The sequence below is a fragment of the Homo sapiens genome, chromosome 22 (assembly GCF_000001405.40).
Source record: "Homo sapiens chromosome 22, GRCh38.p14 Primary Assembly".
Lineage (NCBI taxonomy): Eukaryota > Metazoa > Chordata > Mammalia > Primates > Hominidae > Homo > Homo sapiens.
Window position 1 is genome coordinate 34,942,759 of NC_000022.11, and position 26,065 is coordinate 34,968,823.

Here is a 26,065-nt window from a genome sequence, read left to right on the forward strand (position 1 = left end):
TGCTTTTTATAGAAAATTGAGATGTTTTTAAAATTCTTTATGTATGTTTTTTAGGCTTGAAGACCAACTTTCACGTAATATAGTCAGATCTGAATCTGACCACATCATCGGCAATATTGTTTCTAGTTTGCTTTGTAGAAGAAAATGCATCCATATGTCACAGTATTCCATATAGGAGTAAATGTTTCAGAGTACTCTAACCCTTGAATAAATTAAATAGTTCAGAGAATTCTGGATTTAAATCACAACTCACCCATGTCAAATGAAAAACCAACCTTGACTTAGGATAGGAGAGACTATTACAGTGGGGAGAACACTGTGACTTTGGGGTCTTTGAAGCATCTCAAAATCAAACCAAATAGGGCTTTCTTTTCTAGGGAGGGGGAAGCAGAACTGGCAGGGACTTTGGGGGAGGCTGGCAGGTGGTGAGGGGAGCATATAACATGAAGGGGGAATTTAACTGGATTTCTCTTTCTGGTCAGCCTCCTAGAACAAGCTGTTCTACACCTGGATGCTTGCTTAAACTTAAGGATGAGCAAAGTTTAGGAGCCTGTAGGAAGGAGAAGCCTGACTAAAGTTTGGCTGAGCCAAGTTCATCGGTACTAGCATCATTTGCCCACCCGCTTCTGAGTTGCACGACCTTGGGTTACTTACTTTTCCACTCCAAGATTCAATTTTCCTTTTTTTCCAAAATGTGGACAATAACTGGTCCCTGCCTCACAGCATGGTAAGGAATAGATGAAACCCTTTGCAAAGAACCATCGACCTCTATTTCCTCAGGCCTAGAAGAGCACCCAAGGACATAGCAAGTCCCTGTCTACTGTAGCTGCCATCCTTGTATACCTGCATAAAATGGGGCTGGGTGAGGCTGCTTGTGCTTATGTTTGGAAAGTTCTCTGAGTCTGCAGCATGAAAGCAAGGCTGTCCCCACTCTCTCTGAGCTTGAGACCCCCGCTCACTCCCCTGCAATGACAACCTCTCAAATGCAAGCTTGGTAAATTTGTTCTCAGCCACAAAGGAAATGGATTACAAAGCTTAATTAAAGAGGACATTTTCCATTCTGTTATTTTTTTAATGCATCTGGTTAGGGAAAATAAATACTTTTTATCAGCCAGGAAATTCTTCAGATGCACTTTAGCCTGGGATGCCAGAACCAAGCAAAATGTTCAGAATCTTCAGTTCTTAGGAATGACATCTAGAAGGTAGGAACTGAGGAAAAGGAACTAGGCAGCTTGAAGAATGGGGAGTGTAGTTATTCTATCTCTGCTCCTTGTCCAGCAGAGGGTGTCACAGATGATGGCAAAGAGTCATTTATTCAACTGACCTGTGAGCACCCATTAACTCATGCACTTTTCCTACACCATCTTGTAGAATCTAACTCCAAGACCCCATCCCGAGCTCCGGGACCCCCATGACCCAGCCCTGCTCTTCTGACCTCATTTTCTCCCCCTCCCCTGTCATTCTTCTCCAGTCACATTGGCCTCCTGGTTCCTCCACTAGAGAAGGAGGCCCCTCCCTCAGGTCACTGCACTAGCTCTTCCCTCTTTCCTCGGCCTGAAATCAGCTCCCTTTCTTACACAACTTGAGTCCCTGCTGAAATACCAGAAAGAACTCCCCATCCCCAACCCCTGCTGTGTAAACAGCCCTCCCACTGCCCCTGTACCATGCCCCCCCGCCCCCCGCCACCATGATTCCTTTATACTCATGGGACTTAATACCACTTAAAATGATATTTTTACATTTGTTTTCCATGTTCATGTTAAGCCCCCCTACAATGTAAACTCCATGATATCAGGGACTTGGTTTTATGGCTACCAAATTTCCATTCTCTAGAACCGCTCCTGGCATAAACATAATAGGTGATTGATAAATATTTCCCTATTATCTCACTTCATCCAGCCTGGAAGGTAGGTATTGTGGTCCCCATTTGACAGATGGGGAAATAGACCTTCAGAAAAACTAAGTCACTGGTCCAGGGTTGTACAGCTAGGAAAAGGGAGCCCTGGCTTTGAATCCGCATCCCAAGCTTCCTGTACCACCCACTGCCTCCTGAGAAATAATGCCTTTAAAAGTGACTCTCAGGGTTACCCACAGGCTCCAGAGGACCAAGAACTCCGTCTCAATCCTAAAATGCAGATAGGCTATGAACTCCAGCTCATCAGGGTACTGGCAACTTACATAAACCCCAGGCACTCCTCCAAGATCAGATATCAGATTCGCTAAGTTCAAGTGTATTGGAATCATCTGTCACCCCTTCAAAATTATTTACTCTAAGCAGTTGATAATGAGAACATTTATAAAGAAGATGCCCACCTGAATAGTATCTTAAAGTAACAGACAGTCGGTGTAATGGTTCACTAATTGGTCTTTGCTAAACATCAACTCAAATGGCCAAAATACTCCTTAATGGACCAACTATATTAAAAGTCCAGGTGCAGGTGAGATGGGAAACAGCCTTCAGCTATGCATGCTGTGGGAAGGCCCTGAGGCCCTAAGGAGGCAGCAAGGAATCTGGCAATGAACTCAGGCTTTGGAGCCAAATAAACCTTAGAATCCCCCTTCTCCCAGCCCTACTATCTCCTTCCCTACTGCTTACTACTTATAGCCTTAATGGGAAATGGGCTGTGATTAACTTCTCTAAGCCTCACTTTCAACATCTACAAGGTGTGGGATGAAAGACATAATAATGGTACCCAAATTTATGGCAGACTATGGAAAATAAACCACATTGTACCTACAAAGCACTTGGCACATTCCTTGGCACATGGCAGGTGTTTGATAAATGATAGTTCACACATTTCTCTTCAGTGCACCTGTTTCCCTGAGCCAAGGGACCCAGAAGTGGGAATTTTATTAACTTTTTAATAAGGAGGCTATGAAATAATCTCAAGACTAGAGTATACTTGGCCATTCTTTTTAAAACCCCATTCACTGTATTTGCTGCTCACTTGTCTTGCACCAGGCTCTGTGCTCAGCTCTAAAAGAGACAGAGATGAATAAGACATGAACCCCAAGGATAAGACCCTGGTGATTGTGTCTATGGAGGTAATACTGCATTTTGCCTTCTAAATAAAGTTTGTTTTCTCATGCTTAATTAGTATCATTTCTTCTCTGTGCTTAGTAATTGGTTCAATGGATTGTTGGAACTGTTGATAACTGTGGTGATAAAAGTACTTTTCAGTTTGGGGCTTTAGCACAGTCTTAACTGTCTCATTGATTCAGTAAATATTTGGCCGGGTGTGGCGGCTCACGCCTATAATCCCAGCACTTTGGGAGGCCGAGGAGGGTGGATCATCTGAGGTCCGGAGTTCAACACCAGCCTGACCGACATGGAGAAACCCCATCTCTACTTAAAAAAATACAAAATTAGCCAGGCATGGTGGCACGGGCCTGTAATCCTATCTACTCGGGAGGCTGAGGCAGGAGAATCTCTTGAACCTGGGAGGCGGAGGTTGCGATGAACCAAGATCACGCCATTGCACTCCAGCCTGGGTGACATGAGCAAAATTCCATCTCAAAAAAGAAAAAAAAATGTATATATTTGGGGGCACTCACTAGGCGACAGGCACTATTTTAGATTCCAGGGATACCATGGTGAACAAAGCAAAGTTCCTGTCCCCATGGAGCTCATATCTAGCTGGGAAATGTGGTAGTTTTAAGACATGTCTGCAAATTCTTTCATCTTTTTCTCATCAAGATGTGGGTTCTCTATTCCTCACCTTGAACCTGGGCCCACCTTAATGATTGGTTGGTCACCAGCATAAAGAGGAAGTGATATTCTGTGACTTCCAGGCTGGGCCATAGAAGCCAGGCAGTTTCCTCTTGGTTCCCTGGATCACTTGCACTGGAGCTGCCACGTAAGAAGTCTGACCATCCCGAGGCCTCTATGCTGTGAGGAAGCCCAAATTAGTCCACATGGAGATGCCCTGAGTCTACAAGAAAAGAGAGGACAGACAGAGATGCTCCTCTAGACACCATTTCGCTGAAACCACATGAGGGTTCACCAAGCCAAGACCGCTGAGCTGAGCCTTTCCCAGGTTCCTGACCACAGAAACCATAAGAGATAATAACGTGATTGATGGTGGCCAGACACAGTGACTCACACCTGAAATCCCAGCACTTTGGGAGGCTGAGGTGAGAGAATTGCTTCAGGCCAGGAGTTTGAGACCAGCCTAGGCAACATGGGGTGATCTTATCTCTACAAAAAAGTCTAAATATTAACCAGATGTGATGGTGCGTACCTGTAGTTCTAGCTATTCAGGAGGCTGAGGTGGGAGGATCACTTTAGCCCAGGAGTTTGAGGCTGCAGTGAGGTATGATTATACCACCGGACTCCAGCCTGGGTAACAGAGTGAGACCTTGTCTCTAAAAAAAAAAAAAAAAAGATTAATGTTGTTTTGGGGGTGGTGTATGATGCATCAATGGATAACCAGAATAGGGAGAACATAATAAACAAACACATTTATCAAGTAATGATAAGAAATATTAAGAAAAGGAAAGCAGAACAAGAGAATAAATTGACATGGGTGTCATCAGGGAAGACCTCCTGAGTGGTGACAACTGCACAAATATCAAGGAAGGAGCCTCATGCAGCATTCCCAGTGAAGGGGACAGCAAGCATGAAGGCCTGCGGCAGGAACATGCTTAGATACTCAAGGTCAAGCAAGAAGGAAAGTGTAGCTGGGCCACAGTGAGGGAAGAAAGGAATAGAGGAAAGTTAGATTAGAGTAGAAGGCATGGGTCAAATAGGGCCTTACAAGATAGCATCATCAGAATAAAGATTAACACTCACAAAGTACTTACTTACAAACTGTCAGGCATTATTTCAAGCACGTTCCATGTATAAATCCATTTACTATCACAGCATCCTTCAAGGTAAGTAATAGCATTAACCTGATTTTACAGATGAGAAAACAAAGGCACAGAAAGGTAAAATAAGTTGCCAAAGATCACAGAACGTGGTGAGCGACAGAGCTAGGATTTGAATTCAGTCAGTCTGTCTCCAGAACCCATGACTTACTTAACCACTACTCCTCAATGCCAGGGTGAGAAATTTGATTGCATTCTAGGTTGCGTGGGAAGCCACTGAAACTCTGAACAGGGGCATAGTGTGGCAGGGCTGACATTGCATCAAGGTTGTTCTGGCTGTGCTGTGGAGCATGGATCATAGAGAGGCAAGGGTGGAATCCAAAAGACTCGCCAGGGAATTATTGCAGTCCCAGTAAGAGATGATGTTGGCTTGCACTAGGGCAACAGCTCTGGAGGGAGTACAGAGTGGGTGGATTGGGAATAAAACTTGGAGCTGAAATGACCTGCTGATGGGTAGAACCAGATGTGAAAGAAGAACCAAGGATGACTCCCTGAGGGTTTCAGTATGAACTACTGGATGAGCAGTGATGCCTTTTAATAAGAAAGGAAACTGAGGAAGGGGCAGATTTGGGAATCAGTCCTTCTGAGGCAGTTCTAAATCTTAGTCATTTCTACATGGACCCGCCAGTCTCCAGCACAAGGCCTAACACATAGGAGGGTGTGAGCAATATTGTTTGAACAACGGGGCCACTAAGATCCAAGTTTGGCCTTGCCAGAGGCTATCATCCTCAAAGATTAAAAATTGTAATTTCTGGCTGGACATGTGGCTCACTGTAATCCCAGCACTTTGGGAGGCCGAAGCAGATGGATCTCTTGAGGTCAGGAGTTCAAGAACAGCCTGGCCAACATAGTGAAACTCCATCTCTACTAAAAATACAAAATTAGCCAGGCATGATGGTGCATGCCTGTAATCCCAGTTACTCGGGGGGCTGAAGCAGGAGAATTGCTTGAACTCGGGAGGCGGAGGTTGCAGTGAGCCGATATCGTGACACCACACTCCAGCCTGGGTGACAACAGTGAAACTGCATCTCAAAAAAAAAATAATTCATAATTTCTTTCTAAAATCATCAAAGATGACCTCAAAAATCCTTCTTCGTCATTTACACTTTAACATAAATGATTTTTGTCACATCTTCTCCTGGGATCACTTTGTAAGATCGGGGGAGAGGGTTGGAGTTGGGGGAAGGTCCTGAATACTTGGGTAAGAGATGAGACCACACCTCTGCAAGTTCAATGGGCAAGTTCAAAGGCCTCCTGAACTCCTGTAGATCTTACATGCACAGCACCCAAAGTGGAAATGATTGCACTGACTGAATAGCACCCATGTTCCAGGCCTCATACTAAGCACATGTCATACCTCATTTTATTTGACCTCAAGAACACCATGTGAGTGCAGTCCTGTTATCCCCTTCCAAGTGATGCAACTGCTCTGATAGACAGCAAATAATTTGCTGATGGTCTCACAACTTCTAAGTGATAGAGGTAGTATTTAGTCCAAGGTTGATTCAAAAATTGGTGCTCTATTCACAATAGCAAAGACATGGAATCAACCTAGGTGCTCATCAATGGTGGACTAGATAAAGAAAATGTGGTACATATACACCATGGAATACTGTACAGCCATAAAAAAGAATGAGCTCATGTCCTTTGCAGCAACATGGATGCAGATTGAGGCCATTATCCTAATTGAATGAATGCAGACACAGAAAACCAAATGCCACATGTTCTCACTTAGAAGTGGGAGCTAAATATTGTGTACACATGGATATAAAGACAAGAACAATAGACACTACAGACTCCAAATGGAGGAGGGCTGAAGCGGGCAAGGGTTGAAAAACTACCTACTGGTTACTATGCTCACTATTTGGGTGATGGGTTCAATTCAAGCCCAAACCTCAGCATCACACAATATATCCATGTAGCAAATCTGCACATGTACCCTCTGAATCTAAATTTTATTTCTAGCAGTACTTTTCCCACTCTGCCACCCTGGGAGAAAGACTGACGAGGTACAATGAGCACTACAAGGTGTCCCAGGCACAAGGTCCCTGACCTGGCTCCGCCCCTCACCAGGTGAGGACCTTAGGTCAGTGACTTTCCTTTTGTGTGCCTCAGTTTTCTCATCTTCGAAAGGAATAGTAATGAGGTTCCTAACCTCATTATGCTTCTGTAGGGACACAGAAAGTAAGGTGCTGGCAACTGTTCTTGTTACAGTACTAACAATCATGGCAGGCCTCCTGGAGGAGTGGAAAGCAGTGCACTATGGACTGAACTGTGTCCTCCCCTCCCCCAAATCCATATGTTGCAGCCCTAACCCCCAATGAGGCTGTATTTGGAGATGGGGCTTTTAGGGGGTAATTAAGGTTGAATGAGGTGATAAGAGTGGGGTTTGGATCCAATAGGACTGGTGTCCTTATAAGAAGAGACACCTGGGCCAGGCACAGTGGCTCATGCCTGTAATCCCAGCACTTTGGGAGGCCAAGACAGGTGGATCACCTAAGGTCAGGAGTTCAAGACCAGCCTGACCAACATAGTGAAAACCCATCTCTACAAAACTACAAAAATTAGCCGGGCATGATGGCATTTGCCTGTAATCCCAGCTACTCGGGAGGCTGAGGCAGGATAGTGACTGGAACTGGGAGGTGGAGGTTGCAGTGAGCCGAGATCACACCATTGCACTCCAGCCTGGGCGACACAGTGAGACTTCGACTCAAAAAATAAAAAGAAGAGACACCAGAGAGCTCACTCATCCTCCTCTCTCTGCATGCTCTGAGGAAGAGCCATGTGAGGCCAAAGCGGCCATCTACAAACTAGGAAGAGGGCCCTCGCCAGGAAACAAATCAGCTGGCACCTTAATCTTAGACCTTCTTGCCTCCAAGAATTAAGAGAAAATTAATTTCTGTTATTTAAGCCACCCAGTCTATAGTGTCTTGTTATGGCAGGCCCAGCGGCTAATACACAGTTCCAAGCTGCGCTTCCTCTCTCATTGCCCAGACTTTCCAGACAGGACTTTCTGCCTCCTGCTCTCTGAGGGCCCTCCCCCTCTAAACATGCAAATGTACTCACTCAGTTCCCAGGAAATGCGAAGCAGACAGCCCTGGAATTCAAAACAGCCTGCAGACTGCAGCCTCTTATTTTAATGATTCTAATTTATCTCCAGAATTATCAATAATAAATCAAACTAAGTGGAACTAAAACAACTTTCCCTGTGGCTGTGTCATGTTCTGTTGGAAAAGACGACCCCTTCAAAAGGCTGTGTTGATCACCAGCTCCTCCATCTGCCCAGCGAGCAGGTTCCCTGAAAAGGTGCTCAGTGACTTTCCTCCATGGAGAAAGACGTTTTCCATTTGTGCCTAACCAGCCATGCACAGTTTCAGGAGCACCACATATAACCCTCATTTAATTTAAGCTTATGGGTTAGGAATGAGTATGACCTCATTATACTAACGGGAAAACTGAGGCACAGAGGGGTTCAGTGAACCTTTCAAAGTCACAGAGCGGGGATACTAACCCAGCCCTCCCTAGCCCCAGTCCCACGTTCCCTCCCATGAAAAAGTTGCCTCTGAGCTGCAGATATCAGCTTGGTACCCTGGAAAAGGCTCAGGCTTTGGAATTCAGCATCTGGGTCTGAGTTCCTCCTCTGCCTTTAATGATGGGTAAGCATTCAGGGAAGTAGCTGAGTCTCACTGAGCTTCCTTTCCCATCTCTAAAAGTGGCAGCTTATCATGCTTAAAGGACAACCATGTAAGTAACTCCAGAGAGCCCCTAGAACAAAGAACACAGGAACAGCGTCCCTGGAGGTGATCCGTGGGGTGGTGGGGAATACATCCCTCAGCAGGTTGTAGGAAGACTGAATTAATAGTGGCAAATCACAAAGTAAAGTGCCTGTGACTTAATCAATAATCACAATTATCATTATTTATTATGATGTTTGTCTGGATTCTTGCCGATATTCACAAGCTGAACTTCAGGTGTAATAAGAACGGCATTGACGTACCACCTCCTGCTTAGCCAGTGGAATAATTGTAAATTATGGTCAGTAAAGGGGAATGTTCTTGAAACCATGGGAATTCAAAAGTACATCATCCAGCCTGAATGACTACTTTGGAAAATAAGGAAGATGAGGTCAAAGAAGTTGTAAAATTGTTGGAGGTCACACAAGCACCGTCTGGTGGAATCATGGTGAGAAGACGGGTCTCTCCTGTCCCTCAGCATCTTCCTTCCTGGACTTCCTCCCCAACAGAATAACAGCTCTGGTCTGTTGCACCACACTATGCAGTTGAAATGTTGCTTTCACCGATATTACTACTTTTTGGTCCTTGTTACATGTTGAATTATGTCCCCCAGAAAGAGATTTTGAAGTTCTAACCTCCTGTAGCGGTGTATTCCCCGCTACCCCCCACGGATCACCTCCAGGGGTGCTGTTCCTGTGTTCTCTCTTTTGGGAGCTCTTGGGAGTTACTTAGACGGTGGTGCTTTAATAATTATAAGCTGCCCTTTTTAGAGATGGGAAAGGAAGCTCACCCAGACTCAGCTACTTCCCTGAACACCTACCCATCGTTAAAGGCAGAGGAGAAACTCAGACCCAGATGTTGAACTCTTATTTGGAAATAGAATCTTTATAGCTGTAATCAACTTATGACAAGTCACACTAGAGTAGGGTAGACCCTAAATCCAGTATGACTGGTGGCCTGGAGAAGAGATGACAAAGGCAGAGATTGGAGTGCTGGGTCTGTAAACCAAGGGATGCCAAGGATTGCCAGCAACACCAGAAGTGAGGAGAAAGACGTGGAGCAGCTTCTCCTCATAGACCTTTAGAGAGAGCACAGCCCTGCTGACCCCTTGATTGCTGACCCCTTGATTTCTGACCCCAGCCTCCAGAAGTGTTTGAGAAGAAATTTCTGTGGCTTGAGGCCACCTGGTTTGTGGTACTTTGTTACAGCACCCCTAGCAAACTAATACAGTCCCCCCAAGCAGACACTGGAATAATGTTCCCTGCTTTTTCAGGCAAGAGTCCAATCTCAGAAGGTATGAATGGCTAAGACGTCACCAAACCCTCCTACCTCACTGCTCTCCAATCGCACTGGCCTCTTTCTCTTCCTCAAAGTCACCAGGGCCTTGGCACTTGATCCTCCTGTTGGGAACTGTGTTAGCCTGTTCTTCCTTTGCTATAAAGAAATACATGAGACTGGGTAACTTATAAAGAAAAGAGATTTAAATGGCTCATGGTTCTGCAGGCTATACAGAAAGCATTGTACTGGCATCTGCTCAGCTTCTATGGAGGTTTAGGAAGCTTCCAATCATGGTGGAATGTGAAGGGGGAGCAGGCACATCACATGGCCAGAGCAGGAGCAAGAGCATGGGTGGGGGGAGATACCACACCCTTTTAAACAATCAGATCTCACAAGGCCTCACTATCATGAGGACAGCACCAAGGGGATGAGGTTAAACCATTCATGAGAAATTCATCCCCATGATCCAATCACCTCCCACCAGGCCCCACCTCCAATGCTGGGGATTACAATTCAACATGAGATTTGAGCAGGGACAAATATACAAACTGTATCAGGAACACTCTTCCCAGACCTTGAAGTCAGCTGCCTCCTCCTTCCCCACCCCAGGCCTTTATCCAACATTACTCTTCAAAGAGGTCTCCCTCCCCCACCACTACCCACCTCAGTCCCTCTCTTTATATGATGCCCTCTCCTTCTTCATCCCTCTCAAGGCACCAGAGTGCTTATCACTTGGATATATGTTGATTATCTCTCTCCCTCCGCAAAAATATTTGCTTCTTTGAGGAACTGGAATTCTGTCTGTCTCTTTCTTTCCTGTCTTTTTAGATGGGAGCACATAACTGATGCTCAGTAAGTACCTGTTAATAGACTGGAAAGAGCAGGAGCTTTGAGATCAAACCTGTGTTCATAATTTAACTTCACCTTTTTTACTTTGGTGACTTTATTCGTGTTCTTAAACCTTCCTGGTGCTCAGTGTCCTTGTCTATCAAGTAAGAACAATAATAGACAACATCTACTGAGCTTTTCTTTGTGCCAGGTGCTGTCCTAAGCATTCGAAAGGCATGAATGCATTTAAACTTCACAAAAACCATATGGTAGAGGTACAGTTGTTATGCCCATTTTACAGTAGAAGAAACAGACAGAGAAGCTGAGTAACATCCCCAACATTCACACACTGCACTGGAATTTGACTTCTTCTTTGACCAGAATGCCTGCACTTAAGCATTAGGATTTGCTCTTCCAACAGTGCCAAGGATTTTTATCTCATTAGGCGGTAGTGAGGACTGGAAATGATTCATGTACAGTACTGAGTGTGGCCCCTAGCATATAATTCGAGATCAACTTATAAAACTCATCAAAGTGTTGCTGACATTTTGCAACTCTTGTTACAACACTCAAATCCAGTGTCTTGTTACTCTTGTTTTCTACTTTCTTCAGTGGTTCATTAATCAGTGCTCCACCCTTTATTTTACCCTATGTGCTAGCCATTGGAATCCACAGGCAAATTTTGGTACTGCAATTGGCCCAACAGGGGACTGGGAGAGATTCCTCTATCTCGGATTCAACAGAGCTCAGTTTTGTTCAACAAACTCCCTTTGAGCCCCTAATTATGTCCCAGGCACCGCAGCAACCAGGGCACAGGGAACAGGCCTTCAACTCCAGCCTGCCAATATTTAATTTTCCAGCTTCACATTCTAACCCAGGTTTGCACAAGAAGAAAGAAAGCCCGATCATGAGAGCATCGGCAGTAGACACTACCCCCGATTTTTTTTTTTTTTTTTTTTTTTTTTTGGAGACAGAGCCTTGCTCTGTCACCCAGGCTGGAGTGCAGTGGCATAATCTCAGCTCATTGCAACCTCTGCCTTCTGGGTTCAAGTGATTCTCCTGCCACAGCCTCCCAAGTAGCTGGGATTAAAGGCGTGTGCCACCACGCCAGGCTAATTTTTGTATTTTTAGTAGAGACGGGGTTTCATCATGTTGGCCAGGCTGGTCTCGAACTCCTGACCTCAAGTGATCTGCCCACCTCAGTCTCCCAAAGTGCTGGGATTAAAGGCATGACCAACTTTATGACATGAGGGACAAGCATTAGACAGAAATCAGAAGACTTGGGCTCCAATCCTCAGTAGATAGGATGGGCTGGTAGGTAAACAAGGGCTTTACAGTCAGACACACATGGGTTAAAATCCAAATCTGCTAACTGGCCACATGATTTCTGAGCTCTTTAAGCTCGCTGAGCCTGTTTCTTCATTGTAAAATAGGAGCCACAGTATTGCCCATTTTGCAGGACTTTCTAAAGGATTACATGTAACATACATGTAGTACGTACTTAATAAACGGTGGCTACTATTACTACTCTTATTACCAGTGGTATCATCTTGAGTAAGTCAATTACTCATAATTACTCTCTTTGAGGTCTGGCCTCTCATCTATAAAACAAGGTTAATAATCCTCATTCTTAAAGAGATGTTGGGATAACTTAATAAAACACGTATGTTAAAAGCCATACCATAGAGGTGGTGGTTGCACAACATTGAGAATGTACTTCAATATCTGCACAGGCCTGGTGCTGGCAGTGCCCTTTGTACTGAGGTGTTGGAGCAGGACAACAGTGAAGTTCATTAGGAATGCAACCCAGGGTGGGCTGCTGGGGTCCATCCTGTCTGAGGGGCCAGGAGTGGAGCCCACACTCACTCAAGTCCCACTTTGGGGCAAGCCTGAGCGCCCAGCTGTTCTGTGGAGGCACAGACACTCGCCCTCAACAAGAAAACCATTTCAGAATCATTTCTTGAATGACCCAGAAAGGCCACTGTGCCAGTCTGTCCATTTCATTTTAACAGGAAATAATCAGGTACTTTTCCTGGCTTGGAGCAAGAATGGATCCTCTTTACTGTATTTAAAAAAAAAAAAAAAAAAAAAAAAAAAAAAAAAGGCCAGGCGCGGTGGCTCACGCCTGTAATCCCAGTACTTTGGGAGGCCGAGGTGGGCAGATCACGAGGTCAGGAGATCGAGACCGTCCTGGCTAACATGGTGAAATCCCGTCTGTACTAAAAATGCAAAAAATTAGCCAGGCGTGGTGGTGAGCGCCTGTAGTTCCCAGCTACTCGGGAGGCTGAGGCAGGAGAATGGCGTGAAACCTAGGAGGCAGAGCTTGCAGTGAGCCAAGATCACACCACTCCACTCCAGCCTGGGCAACAGAGCGAGACTCTGTCTCAAAAACAAACAAACAAAAAAAACACTCATGGACACAGGGAGGGGAACATCACACACACACAGAGGCCTGTTGGGGGGATGGGGGCCAAGGGGAAGGAGAGCATTAGGACAAATACCTAATACATGCGGGGCTTAAAACCTAGATGACGGGTTGATAGGTGCAGCAAACTACCACGGCACATGTGTACCTATGTCACAAACCTGCACGTTCTGCACACATATCCCAGAACTTAAAGTAAAATAAAAAATAAAAATAAAAAAGAGAAAGAGAGTGAATGTACTTAACGCCACTGAATTATACACTTAAAAATGGTTAAAATGGTAAATTTTGTTATATATATTTTACCACAATGAAAAAACTGAAAATTAGAAAAACCAACAAAATAAGCCATTCCAGTTGGGATTCCTATTTATAAACAACAGAGCCCACTCTAGCTAGTTTAGCAGAAAGTGAATTTATGAGAATGTCAGGGCACTCACAGATCTCCAAGTGGGTCAGGAATCAGTCTCAGAGGCTGTGCAGCCAGGACCTGCCTCAGTAAAAGCTCCACAATGTCACAAGGGCACTAACCCCACACAGCTCAGCTTGGCTGGAGCCTCAGCCAAGCAGGACACGCCTGCCATCACCGTCACTGAGTGGATTCTGCATGGCTCCTGTTCCTTCACTTCACTCCACTCCCTTGAAAGTCCAGGTTTTGGCCGGGCGCGGTGGCTCACGCCTATAATCCCAGCACTTTGGGAGGCCAAGGTGGGCGGATCACCAGGTCAGGAGATCGAGACCATCCTGGCTAACACTGTGAAACCCCGTCTCTACTAAAAAATACAAAAATTTAGCCGGGCGTGGTGGCGGGCACCTGTAGTCCGAGCTACTCGGGAGGCTGAGGCAGGAGAGTGGCGTGAACCCGGGAGGCGGAGCTTGCAGTGAGCTGAGATCGCACCACTGCACTCCAGCCTGGGCAACAGAGTGAGACTCCATCTCAAAAATTAAAAAGAAAGTCCAGGTTTTGCACAGACCTGGACTTTCTAACTGCACTTGCTTTCCGTGTTGTCATGATCAAGGTCATATGCCAGGACTATGGTTGCAAGGAAAGCAAGTCAATGTACCATGTCTTAGGATGCATGAACTTCCGTGGTGGGGAATTCCCAAGTATAAGGAAAGTGTGCACAGATACTGTGCCACCAAAAGTCCCCTAAAAGTCCATTTCAGGGGCTTTGAAACCCAAGCTGACTTGGGTTTTAATACCAGCTCTAGTAATCGCAGGCCATATAATTTGCAGCAAATAATCTCTCTGATTCTCAGTTTCCTCATCATGAGAGAGGAGTATTAACACCTACTTTCAGAGATTTTATTCAAATCTTGAAAATAATACATCCAAAATTACAGCATATTATAGGTCCTTCCTCCACACGCCCAACAAACGCAATTGAGCAATTGGACAGGAAAACTTTTTGACAACGTACCACCATGAATGGCCTTAATGCTGGCGATCTCTGCCATGGGATATTGTCTTTTCCATGAACATGCCAGACACCATCTTCATAAAAAGAAAGTCAATCTTGACGTGTCTTAGTCCATCTGTGCTGCTATAACAAAAATACCTTAAAATAGGTGGCTTATAAACAACAGAAATATATTTTTCACAATTCTAGAGCCTGGGGAGTCCAAGGTGAAGACAGTGGAACATTTCATGTCTGGTGAAGGTCCATTCCCTGTAGACGGCACTTTCTCACTGTAACCTCACATGGCAGAAGGAGTGAGGTAGCTCTCTGGGGTCTCTTTTGTAACAGCACTAATCTGACAGCCTTCATGACTCAGTCACCTCCCAAAGACACTACGTCCTAATACCATCACCTTGAGGGTTAGAATTTTGATACACGAATTTGAGGAGAACACAAACCTCTAGACAATAGCATGAGGCAACTTGCAGACTTCCCGCTGAATAAGACCATGGCAGACACAAAAAAGACCCCAGTTCCAGGGGAGAGAATAGCCTAGCTGAGGGTGAGGGCTGAGCAATAGGAAGCTCTTCCATTGCAGGGGCATGTGCCTATGCATGGCCTGGAAGAGAAGAAATGCAGCATGCATGTCCCAGCAAAGGGACATATGACATAACCTCAATTAAGTGCCAGAGGTCACACAGTCCAGCCTTGGAATGGTCTTTTTGTTTATTTGTTTTTTGTGTTTTTGAGACAGAGTCTCACTCTGTCGCCCAGGCTGAAGTGCAGTGGCACAATCTCGGCTCACAGCAAGCTCCGCCTCCCGGGTTCACACCATTCTCCTGCCTCAGCCTCCCGAGTAGCTGGGACTACAGGTGCCCGCCACCACGCCCAGCTAATTTTTTTGTATTTTTAGTAGAGATGGGGTTTCACCATGTTAGCCAGGATGGTCTCAATCTCCTGACCTCATGATCCGCCCACCTCAGCCTCCCAAAGTGCTGGGATTACAGATGTGAGCCACCGCACCTGGCCTGGTATGGTCTTTTAATGAGTCCTGCATCAGAAGTATTTCCAATCTGTATCTGAATCTTCCAAAATACATTGCAGAAGACCCAAATCCTAATACATAGCCACACTCTTTATAGTTCTTATTTCCCATTCCTCCCAGTCTCCAATTCTCTCATCCTCAGCAGCTGCCCCAAAGCCTCTTTCCTTCTCTCACTGCTCTACCTCGAGATTCCTCCTGAAATCACAGCAGGGGCTCTCATTTTTCTACCCTTTTCCACACTAATTTTCTTTTCCTTTCTCCTTTACAAACCGAATCTACCCAGACTAGCACCTCCGTTTTTTTCCAGATGACTCCGTGTGTGTGTGTGTGTGTGTGTGTGTGTGTGTGTGTGTGTGTGTGTGTGTGTGTGTGTGTCTTGGGCAGGGCAGGAAAATCACCTCCATCAGACAAAGCTGGAGGTTTCCTTCATGTGCAGAGAGAAAGTGGGCACGACTCTGCATACATTAACAATTTTGTCTCTGTTATATACATTTTTGGAGATGACAATTAAACCTGTGAGTGAATTTGGTCAATCATAAGGTCTGGCAACAACCTTGAACGGAGGTTTGCATCTTAGAATTCTCTAACTATGATAGATTGAAAAAATGGCCACAGTGCTTTCCAGCTTCTCCCATCAAGAAGCCTGCTGCCCACCTGTTGAATCTTGTAAGGTCTTGTGACTTGCCTTGGCCAAGTGAATATGGCAGCCGTAGCACTGTCTGAGTCCTGAGCCTAGGTCTCAGTCAGCTTTGCAGCTTCTGCTTTTGCAGCTTTGGCAAACTAGACACAGAGTATGAGACGTACCAGGCTAGCCTGCTAGATGAACAGAGACAGTGGCCCAGCCTCCTCTATTACTCCAGCCAACAGACAGGCAGCCCCCAGGAACAGAGCTTCCTAGATGACCAGCAGCTGGCCACAGAGACGTGTGTGAGACCAGCCAGGACCAACAGAGAATAAACATCCAGTGGAGCCCAGCCCAAATGCCAACTCACAGAGTCGTGAGCTACATAAATGGCTATTGTTTTAAGTCACTAAGTTTTGGGGTAACCTGTTACACAACAGAAGGTAACTGATAAGATATGGCACCCCAAACCGTCATGGTAACAGGTTCTAAAGGAGGCTTCTGAACCAGTGTCTGCCTGCCATTGAAAGGGCTTCCCATCACCTGTGGGTGTGGGGTACTCATAGGTCTCCCATGGAACCCTTCTGTTGGCTTTCCTGTCTAAACCTCTGGATCCCTGTTCTGAGTCCTGCAACCCTAGGACAGTTTTGTTTTCATCCTTCCCTCCCACTGTCTCCCATTATCATGGCGACATATATCAGAAAGGAAAAATGGCGCATTTCTGCAAATCAGCTAAGGTTTTGCAGCAGAGATGACAGCTGGGATTGCTGGCCCATTGTGGAGTACAGTACCACAGGATCTCTTCCAGACAGAGAAGCAAACTGGACCCACTGCAGGAAGCAGCTCTGTTCTCACTAACCAACATTAGGGTTTGGAATCAAGTCGCTTTTCTAGGGCTGGAGATTGTAGTGGAATTGCTAGTGACATGATGAAGACTACAGTGAAGCTCCCAGCCCCAGAAACTGCATCCTCCTTCCTCCCTACCCTGTTAACGTGTTACCTGAAATTCCAGCATTCATTCCTTTCATTTTGTGTAATGGAAAATGCTCTGACATTAACTATATACTGTCTGCATAGCAAAGCCAATATCAACAAAGTTAAAAGGCCACAGAATGGGAGATGTCTGCAAAGCACATAGCCAACAAAAGATTAGTGTCGGGAATATATAAAGAATTTCTACAAGTCAGTAACAAAAAGACAAACAGCTCAGAACAATGATGGATGAAGGCGGTCAAAAGACAATTCACAGATGAGTTCACTCGAATGGCCAATAAACGTGTGACAAGGAGCTCAGCCTCACAAGGAGCCAGGGAAAGATAAACAATAAGCAGTAATAAGATATCAACCCACAAGTCACCAGATAGGCAGAAATCGTTGCAGGAGGGAACATCAATTGGTACAGCCACTTTGATGAGAAATTTAGTAACACCTAGCAAATGGGAAGACCCACCCTGAGACCCAGCAATTTCACATCCCAGATCTAAAAAGAAAAAGTCTTCTTGCACATGTGTACAGAAGACATGCCCCAAGGCGTTCACTGTGGCTCTGTTTGTAATAGCAAAAAATTGGAAACAACCTACATATCCATTTAGAGGGGAAATAATAAATTATAAAATATTCATACAATGGAATTCTATACCAATCTTAAAATGAGTGAATTAAATTTGTATGTATCATCATGAATAAAATATAATGTTGATATAAAAAGCAAATTGCAGAAAGTTAGGTAAAGTTTGCAGTTTATGTAAAATTTTAAAACCCTAAAAGAATCCTAGACACATATATAAAAGTACAAAATTGGGCTGGAAGATTACTCATCAGCGTTAGAATAGGGTTATCTCTTGGGGACTTGGAAGGGGACAGGGACTGGGGAGGTGAAAAAGGGGGCCTCCAATAGTATTTGTCACATTTTATTTTTTTAGAAAAGAAAGGACCTACGGAAATAAGGCAAAATACAAATACTCATGACACTGGATGGTGGATAGACAAGGGCTTATAATTTGTTTCCAATTCATTTATTCATTCATTCACTCATTCACTCAACAAATATTTACTGAGTAACTGCTTTGTGCCAGTTACTGTTCTAGGTGCTGGGGACACAGTTGTGAATATGACAAAATCCCTGCCCTTGTGGCACAGACAGTAGAGACGTGCAGACAAGAAACAAATGAGTAAAATTATTAAATTGTCAGATGATGATAAGATCTATGGAGAAAAATAGGACAAAGAAGGTCAATATGGAATAGAGGTGTTGGGAAAAGTGGACAGAAGGTTTAAATTGGGAAGCCAGGAAAGATTTTGATACAAAGGAGACACGAGGATCAAAACTGCAGGGATAAGAGAGGGAGCCACGGACATGAGCAGGGAGGGACCCTCCAGGCAGAGGAAGAGCAGGTGCTGAGGCCCAGGGCGAGTGCCTGGTGGGCTCAAAGAGCATAGGAAGAGAGATAGGAGATGAGCTCCCAAGGTAATGGGGCAAGAGACGGGGGGCATCATGTATGTTTTAAATATTTCATAATGTTTAGCAGAAAAAGAAAAACAAGAACAGAAAGAGAGAGGGATTTCCAAAAGGTGGTTGGTTGAGCTCAAACAAAAATATACAGATTGGTGCAAAAGTAATTGCGATTTTTGCCACTTAAAAGTAATGGGAAGGCCGGGCGCAGTGGCTCACACCTGTAATCCCAGCACTTTGGGAGACTGAGGCAGGCGGATCACGAAGATCAGGAGTTCAAGACCATCCTGGCCAATATGGTGAAACCCTAGCCCTATTAAAAATACAAAAATTAGCCAGGGGTGGTGGTGCATGCCTATAGTCACAGCTACTCAGGAGGCCGAGGCAGCAGAATTGCTTAAACCCAGGAGGCGGAGGATGCAGTGAGCCATCATCGCGCCACTGCACCCCAAACTGGGCAACAGAGCAAGACCAAGACTCCATCTCAAAGAAAAAAAAAAAGGGAAAAAATGCAATTACTTTTGCACCAACCTAATAGTTGGGAAATGCAAATTTTAAAAATAGATAAACTCTTCAAAGTTCAAAATGTGCCACTAGGTCCAGTGAAGTTTCAAGAGGGAGCTGGAGAGGTAGTTCCCACTGGCTGCACACTGGACCCACCCGGGATCTTTACAACATCCCGATGCCCAGGTGGCACCCAAGTTACATCAACCAGAATGCCTGGAGCTGGGCCAAGCACGGGTCTACACCAACCATGGCCTGGTGATCTCAATATGCAGCAAAGCTTGGGAACCACAAGGATAGCGTGTGCTGAGTTTCCCTAACCTAGATGAACCTGGAACCTTCCGATTTTCATTACATGTTTCCCAGACCAAATCACAGGACTGGGTTTCCCTACAGAACATCAGTTTGTGAAATGGAACTCAGTTGTTTGGGGTTATTGTTAACATAGTTTTTAAAAACATATTTTTTTTTTTGGTTAAAAAAGCAATATATTCCCAGTCATTTCCATATAGATGTAAAGTACTTAAAATAGTGTCTGGCACATCATCAGAGCTCAATAAATGTTGCTCTTATTGTTGTTGTTATTTATACCTTAACATGAAGTTTATCATCTCTCTTCCTAAAAACGGGTCTTGGTTGACACATCAAAACATTTATTAAGAATATTTATTCAGCCTTACAACATGCCAGGGACTTTATATGTCTGCAAGTCAGAATCTTCTGATTTTAAAGATGAGGAAACAAAGGCTTAGAAAAGTAAAGCAACCAGCCGAGGGTCACTCAGATAACTGGTGGCATGACCAAGGCTATGTGTGTGGATCTTGCCCACCACTAAAATTCATCCTGATTTTATAAGATTGTTGCTCTTTCCCAATAATGTGAACGTAGTTTTGGATTTTATTCTCGTGTAAAGGAATACAGAAATGAAAGAACCAGATGCTTTTCTGGGCTCCCCAGGCAGAACTAATCCCTCCCGTCTCTGGGCCTCCACGGGCCTTTGTATGTTCCTCCATTATGGCTCTTAGCATATTGATTTCCAGCTGGAGTTGGGATTCACGGTAAAGTCAGGGAAGGGGGTGGCTGCCCTGGGTACCTCCGAAAGCTGTTGTTCTAAATTGTGCTGTGGTTCTGAATTGTGCTGTGGGTATGGGCTACAGTGCGTGGGCTGCAGATTTGCTATATGGGCTACAGTGCATGGCTGCAGATTTGCTGGTAGTGCTATGACCCCTTGTGTGAGGGATGAGACCACACAGAGGCAGTGCATCCTAGTGGTTCAGAGAGGGAGTCTGGTGGCAGAATGCCAGGTTTCCAATCCAGGGTCTGGCCCTTGGTGGCCTTATGACCTTGGATGACTTTCTGGACCTCTCTGTGCCTCCATGTTTTCATCTGTAAAACAGAGGTAACCGCAGTATCTTCTGCATAAGGTAGAAAGGATGAAAGGAATTAATGCATGCAAAGTTCCTGAACAGTGCCCAGCATACATCAGCACTAAATAGACATTAGCTGTTTGCATCATGTTATGGTTGAAACTGGCATCAGAATGGGGTTAACTTTTTGGAGGTTGGGAGGGGACAGGGACTAAGGAGGTGAACAAGGGGACCTCCAATAGTGTGACTTGGATGACTTTCTGGGTCCCTCTGTGCCTTCATTTTCTAAATCCATACAAATAGAACACAGATTGGTGGATACCAGGGTCTGGAGTGAGGGGTAAACATAGTGACTGCTTAATGGGCATGAGGTTCCCTTTTGGGAAGATGAACATGTGTGAGCCTAGATAGAGGTAGTGGTTGTGCAATACTGTGAACACATTTAAGGTCACCGACTTGTTCACCTCAAAATGGCTAATTTTTGTTATGTGACTTTCATTTCAATGAACAAAAATTAATAAATCTGGCTAACCTACATTCTCATCCCAGTTCACCATATCTTAGCCAAATTACCTCTTCCTCATATTTCCTCATCTGTCAAAAGGAATAATAGTAATATTTTGATCACAGGTCACATGAGAGAGTTAAATCAGGTAATTATGTAAATTAGACCATGCATGTAAAGAACTGGGCACACAGTAAATGTCCAAGAAATGATACTGATTTGTTTTTGAGTTTAAGAGCTACAATAGGGAGCACTTTGGAAGTGACCGTCTCTGCCTTTTCATGGAATGGATTGACACATGTCACCTATAAAAAGATTGCATTGTCAAGCACATGCATGCAGGTCATGTACAAATTAAGGAGGAAGCATTCTCCAACACTGACCTGCCGGGATTTATCTGGAAAACCCATTCTCAGCAACTCAAAAGTTCTCACACTTACCTCTTTTAGAACTAACTAGAAGTTACTTAGCAAATATTTGAAATAGACCCATCAATTTCAATGAAATATATCTCTAAAGAGATTCTATCCACCTTTACTCAGATATTAGGAAACGGTTCCTACAACAATGCCTTTGATGGAAGACATTGGCAGAAAGGAATCTCTTGCATGCCATTCTGTGTGCAGTGTTCAATTTTGTTTGAAAAACAGTCACCCAGGAATTTCTACAACACCTGTTCTGGCCTGGGGGAGGGGGATGGCTTTAAAGAAACACATGTCTGTATTGCCCTTCCATAATCTGATCAAACTGCAACAGAAGGAGAGGAAGAAAAAACAGAGAGATTTGTAAGATATAAATCATAAAAGCAACAAAAAAGACAGAAATATTATAAATGAAAGACCAGGTGCACTCTTTCAAATTATGCTGAATTGAGCCCAAATCCCTAATGTTTCATTTTGTAATGGCTATCCAAACAGATGTCTTAGCCTTCAGAAAACTCACTAAAAATGGAAGTGCAAATCCTCCTTGAGCTGTTGCTTTACCCAAACCTCCTGCCGCCATGTTGACACCAATGGCATAAAAACACCAGTGGTAGAAGGGAGGCAAAGTCTAGTGCCAGAAAGTGTCATGGAACTTTTCTTATTGACCTATTACATATCAAGAAACATGCTAGAAAAGTTAGCATTCATTAGCTCACTTAATCCCTAAAATAACTCTAGGGGGGTAGAATTTATTAGCCAGTTTTTTAAAACATACTAGAAGGCAAGCTCAAAGCCAACAGGAAGCCACCGCGTGGGCATATGACCTGTACTGTAACACAGGGCCCACGCTTGGTTGCTTGGTTTAATTATCTGCTGTTGTTGTTTTGAAGCTTCAATTTTTGAACAAGGAAACCAATATTTTTCATTTTGCACTGGGTCCTGCAAATTCTGAGCTTATCCTGCTACGTACAGACGTGGTGATGTTTCAACAGGCCTACCACCACCTTATGTACTTCCCGAGGCAGTAGAATTAAGCCCCTGGTTGCTGTTCTTTCTGTTGTATCAGAGATACAGGTTTATAATGAGGGTAAAAGGAGATTGCATATGCAAGAGGGCTCTGAAAAGACAGCTGTCAGTTACAGAGAGATAGATACTCCACAGGTATCCTAGACCATCATTGTGGCCCACAGACCAAATCAGGCTTGTTGCCTGAGTTTTATGACCCAGAAGCTTGGAATTGTTTTTGGTTGTTTGTTTTGAGACAGGGTTCTACCCTGTTACCCAGGCTAGAGTGCCATGGCACAATCATGGCTCACTGCAGCCTCGACCTCCCGGGCTCAAGTGATCCTTCCCTGCCTCAGCCTCCCAAAGTGCTGGGATTACTGGCATGAGCCACCATGCCTGGCCCTAAGAATAGTTTTTACCATTTTAAATAATTGAAAATTTTAAATAATATTTCACACCACATGAATGTTATATGAAATTCAAATTGTAGTGTCCATAAATACACTTTTACTGGAACACAGCCATGCCCATTCATTTACATAGCAATGATAGGCTGCTTTCCAATGGCAGAATTAAGTAGTTACAACAGAGAATGTATGGCCCCAAACCCTAAAATATTTACTATCTTACCCTTCACAGAAAAAGTTTGCCAACCCATGCTCTAGATGTTTGATGAGTGAATGAATGCACAAATGAATGAATGAGTGAATTTTAAAATGTTCTTATAATTTCATTGTTAGTATTATATTTACACAGTGTCAGAACAACTTGGTAAAAGGTCCAGGCCAGGTGCAGTGGCTCACACCTGTGATCCCAGCACTTTGGTAGGCCAAGGCGGGTGGATCACCTGGGGTCAGGAGTTCAAGACCAGCCTGACCAACATGGTGAAACCTTATCTCTACTAAAAATGCAAAAAATTAGCTGGGCATGCTGGCAGGTGCCTGTAATCCCATCTACTCAGGAGGCTGAGGCAGGAGAATCGCTTGAACTTGGGAGGTGGAGGTTGCAGCGAGCCGAGATCACACCACTGTGCTCCAGCCTGGGCAACAAGGGTGAAACTCCATCTCAAAAAAAAAAAGAAAAAAAAAATCCAAAACTCACTAATGGTACTCAATATCTGTTCTGATTTTTCCCTCAGAATTACCCAAATGTTTTAGAAAACATAGCATTTAAATTCCACATCTCTTTATTTTTCAGTTTATGGTAAATTGATTGCAAAAAATAAAAAAACCCTAATTCTTCTTCTCCATAGATCTATGCCCCTTGATATGACTTTGCAGTTCCTTCTACTAAGAAGATGAATCCATTTCTCCACCCGCTGAGTCTGGGCTGGTCTTGTGATGTGCGTTAGTCAATAGAAGTGGCTGAAGTGATGGCGCGCCAGTTTTTAGCCTACACTTCAAGAAGCCTATGGACTTCCACTTGCTGTCTTGAAACCCTGTTTGAAAAAGGTTCCCTGAGGACAAGGCCAGACTAGCCTGCTGGAGGGTGAGAGACCACAGGGAGCAGAGACAAGTCAGCTCACATTAGCAGAACCTCTCAGTCAATCCACAGACCCGTAAGCAAAAATAAGTGTTCTTATAGAATGGCACAGTGGTTTGGGGATTGTGTGTTATGCAGCATTATTGTGGAAATAGATAACTGATACACCGTCCCCTTTTTGTTTACTCATACGCATTCCTTCTTTGTTATCATCTACAGAAGAGTATTAGCAATGGACATTGATCAAACCCTCATAATAATAGCAATAAGAAGAACTGATTCTGAAAATTATTATGTGCCAGGCAATGTGCTAAAGATTTTCCCTGAATCCTCTCACTTAATCCTCACAAAAGTCTTGGGAGGTTGTGTACGGTAGGCAGCTTCTACAATGGCTCCCAGTGACCCCTGCTTTCTGGAATTCATACCCTTAGGTAATCTCCTCCCCTGGAGTGTGGACCAGAGTTAGTGACTCACCTCTAACGAATGAAATAGCTCAGTCTGATGGAAGCAGCTGCCCTGTTGTGAGCTCCCCCTAGGGAGAGGCCCACATGGGAAGAAATCAAAGTATGCCTCAAACCAACAGCCAGAGGGAAACTGAGGCTTCAGTCCAACAAGCCAGAAGGAACTGAATCCCACCAACAACCACTTCATTGAGCCAGTAAGTGGCTCCTCTCCCAGTCTTGAGATGGCTCCAACATCAGCTGACACCTTAATTACAGCCTCGTGAGGGACCCTGAGCCAGAGAATCAGCTAAGCCATGTCCAGATCCCTAGTCCTTCGAAACTATAAAACAGTAAATGCTTGCTTTTTCAAACTGCTAAGTTTTGGAGCCATTTGTTATGCAGTCATAGATAACTAATATATGATATGATGCCTTTTTTGCAGATGAGAAAGCTAAAGCTTGGTGAGATTACGGAAGCCTACAGTTACACAGCTGACTCCCTCCAGAGGCCCCATCCACACCCACTGTTGGACTCCTGCTACTCTCGGAGGCTTGGAGTTGGTTTCTCCTCCCCCAAATCGGTCTCAACACTTACCCTTACTTCCTGCTCTTCGTGGTCTCAGCCTCACTGTTCTTCGTGGACTCATTTTTTCTCTTCCCTTTGTTTTATTTTTGTCTCTTTCTTTCTTTTTTGGCTTCAGTGGAGTCCTAGCCTTAAGGTTTTCCTTCTCTAACCCCTTGTTCCCCTTCCATTCTCTTTCCAGCCCTCTGTAAGCTGCAGCACAGTGTTTACAGTTAAGCCAGCCTCCATTGAGGCCTTCAGTTGCCGAAGTTCAAAAAAATCAACCTAGAATAACAACGTATTGTTATATAAATGGCATCTCAGAAATAAACTAGTCAAATACGCTTATCCCCACAGTTCACATGGGGGAAAAGCTTGCTACCTGATGTTCTAATACATAATAGTTGTTTTCTCATTTATCAACTTTCATCCCCAGTATCTGTAAGCTCCAAGAAGGCAAAGACTTTCACTATTTCATCACTCTTTTCTCCAGGCCTAAAATAGGTCTCACTCCAAAACAGACAGGCAAAGATTATTTTGAGAGTGAATGAATATTAAATGCAGAAGATAACAGATCAAGAGGGAGAAAAGGGGTTGCAATTTATTGAATAGCTCTTATGTGCCAGGCATTTTTACCAATATTATTTTCTTGAATGGTCGCAATCATTTTATGGGGCTTCCCATTTTGTAGGTGGGGAAAATTGAGGCTCAGAGAGGTTAATTTCCCAAAATAACACAGCTAGTAAGGGACAGAGCAAGGATTGGAACCCAGGTCCCCATGGCCTCAGAGCTTGTTCTCTTTGTTTCACATCCCACTACTGTGGGCCTGTGGGGTCTCAATGGTAGTGTCTCAAGCACTCAGACTAGAATCTACACCTCCGGTGACCTGGCTTCTTGGCAAGCAGCTGAATGGCCAGAAATCCCGCCATGGCCCCTACTACACCTTTACAAACACAGGTCACAGATCCATCATCCTTAGTAGCACTCCTTGCTGGTAAAATAACAATACAATCTCGTGTGACTGTGGGAGAGGGATTAAGAGCACAGCTGCACTAGAATCCAGTCCTCTCAGTTACTTGCATGACTAGAGCAAGTTACCTACCATCTGTGGGCCTCAATTTCC

At 44.4% G+C, this 26,065-nt stretch overlaps 2 long non-coding RNA genes across 2 annotated transcripts in view, besides 2 other annotated features; both read right to left on the reverse strand.

Annotated features, from left to right (window-relative positions):
- Nucleotides 1-26,065, reverse strand: part of LINC02885 (long intergenic non-protein coding RNA 2885) — a 241,252-nt gene that overhangs the window by 186,094 nt on the left and 29,093 nt on the right. The window lies entirely within an intron of this gene.
- Nucleotides 4,328-10,024, reverse strand: LOC105373015 (uncharacterized). Its single transcript, XR_938205.1, has 3 exons — nucleotides 9,933-10,024; nucleotides 4,804-4,893; nucleotides 4,328-4,365 (listed from the first exon to the last, which is right to left on the reverse strand). It is a non-coding gene; the product is annotated as an uncharacterized LOC105373015 (long non-coding RNA).
- Nucleotides 7,086-7,587: an enhancer, noted in NCBI's record as "H3K27ac hESC enhancer chr22:35345833-35346334 (GRCh37/hg19 assembly coordinates)". NCBI's record gives its function as "activates a minimal SCP1, AML or CMV promoter by ChIP-STARR-seq in naive H9 embryonic stem cells {active_cell/tissue: H9 hESC(naive)}" and the evidence as "EXISTENCE:reporter gene assay evidence [ECO:0000049][PMID:30033119]".
- Nucleotides 7,588-8,087: an enhancer, noted in NCBI's record as "H3K27ac hESC enhancer chr22:35346335-35346834 (GRCh37/hg19 assembly coordinates)". NCBI's record gives its function as "activates a minimal SCP1, AML or CMV promoter by ChIP-STARR-seq in naive H9 embryonic stem cells {active_cell/tissue: H9 hESC(naive)}" and the evidence as "EXISTENCE:reporter gene assay evidence [ECO:0000049][PMID:30033119]".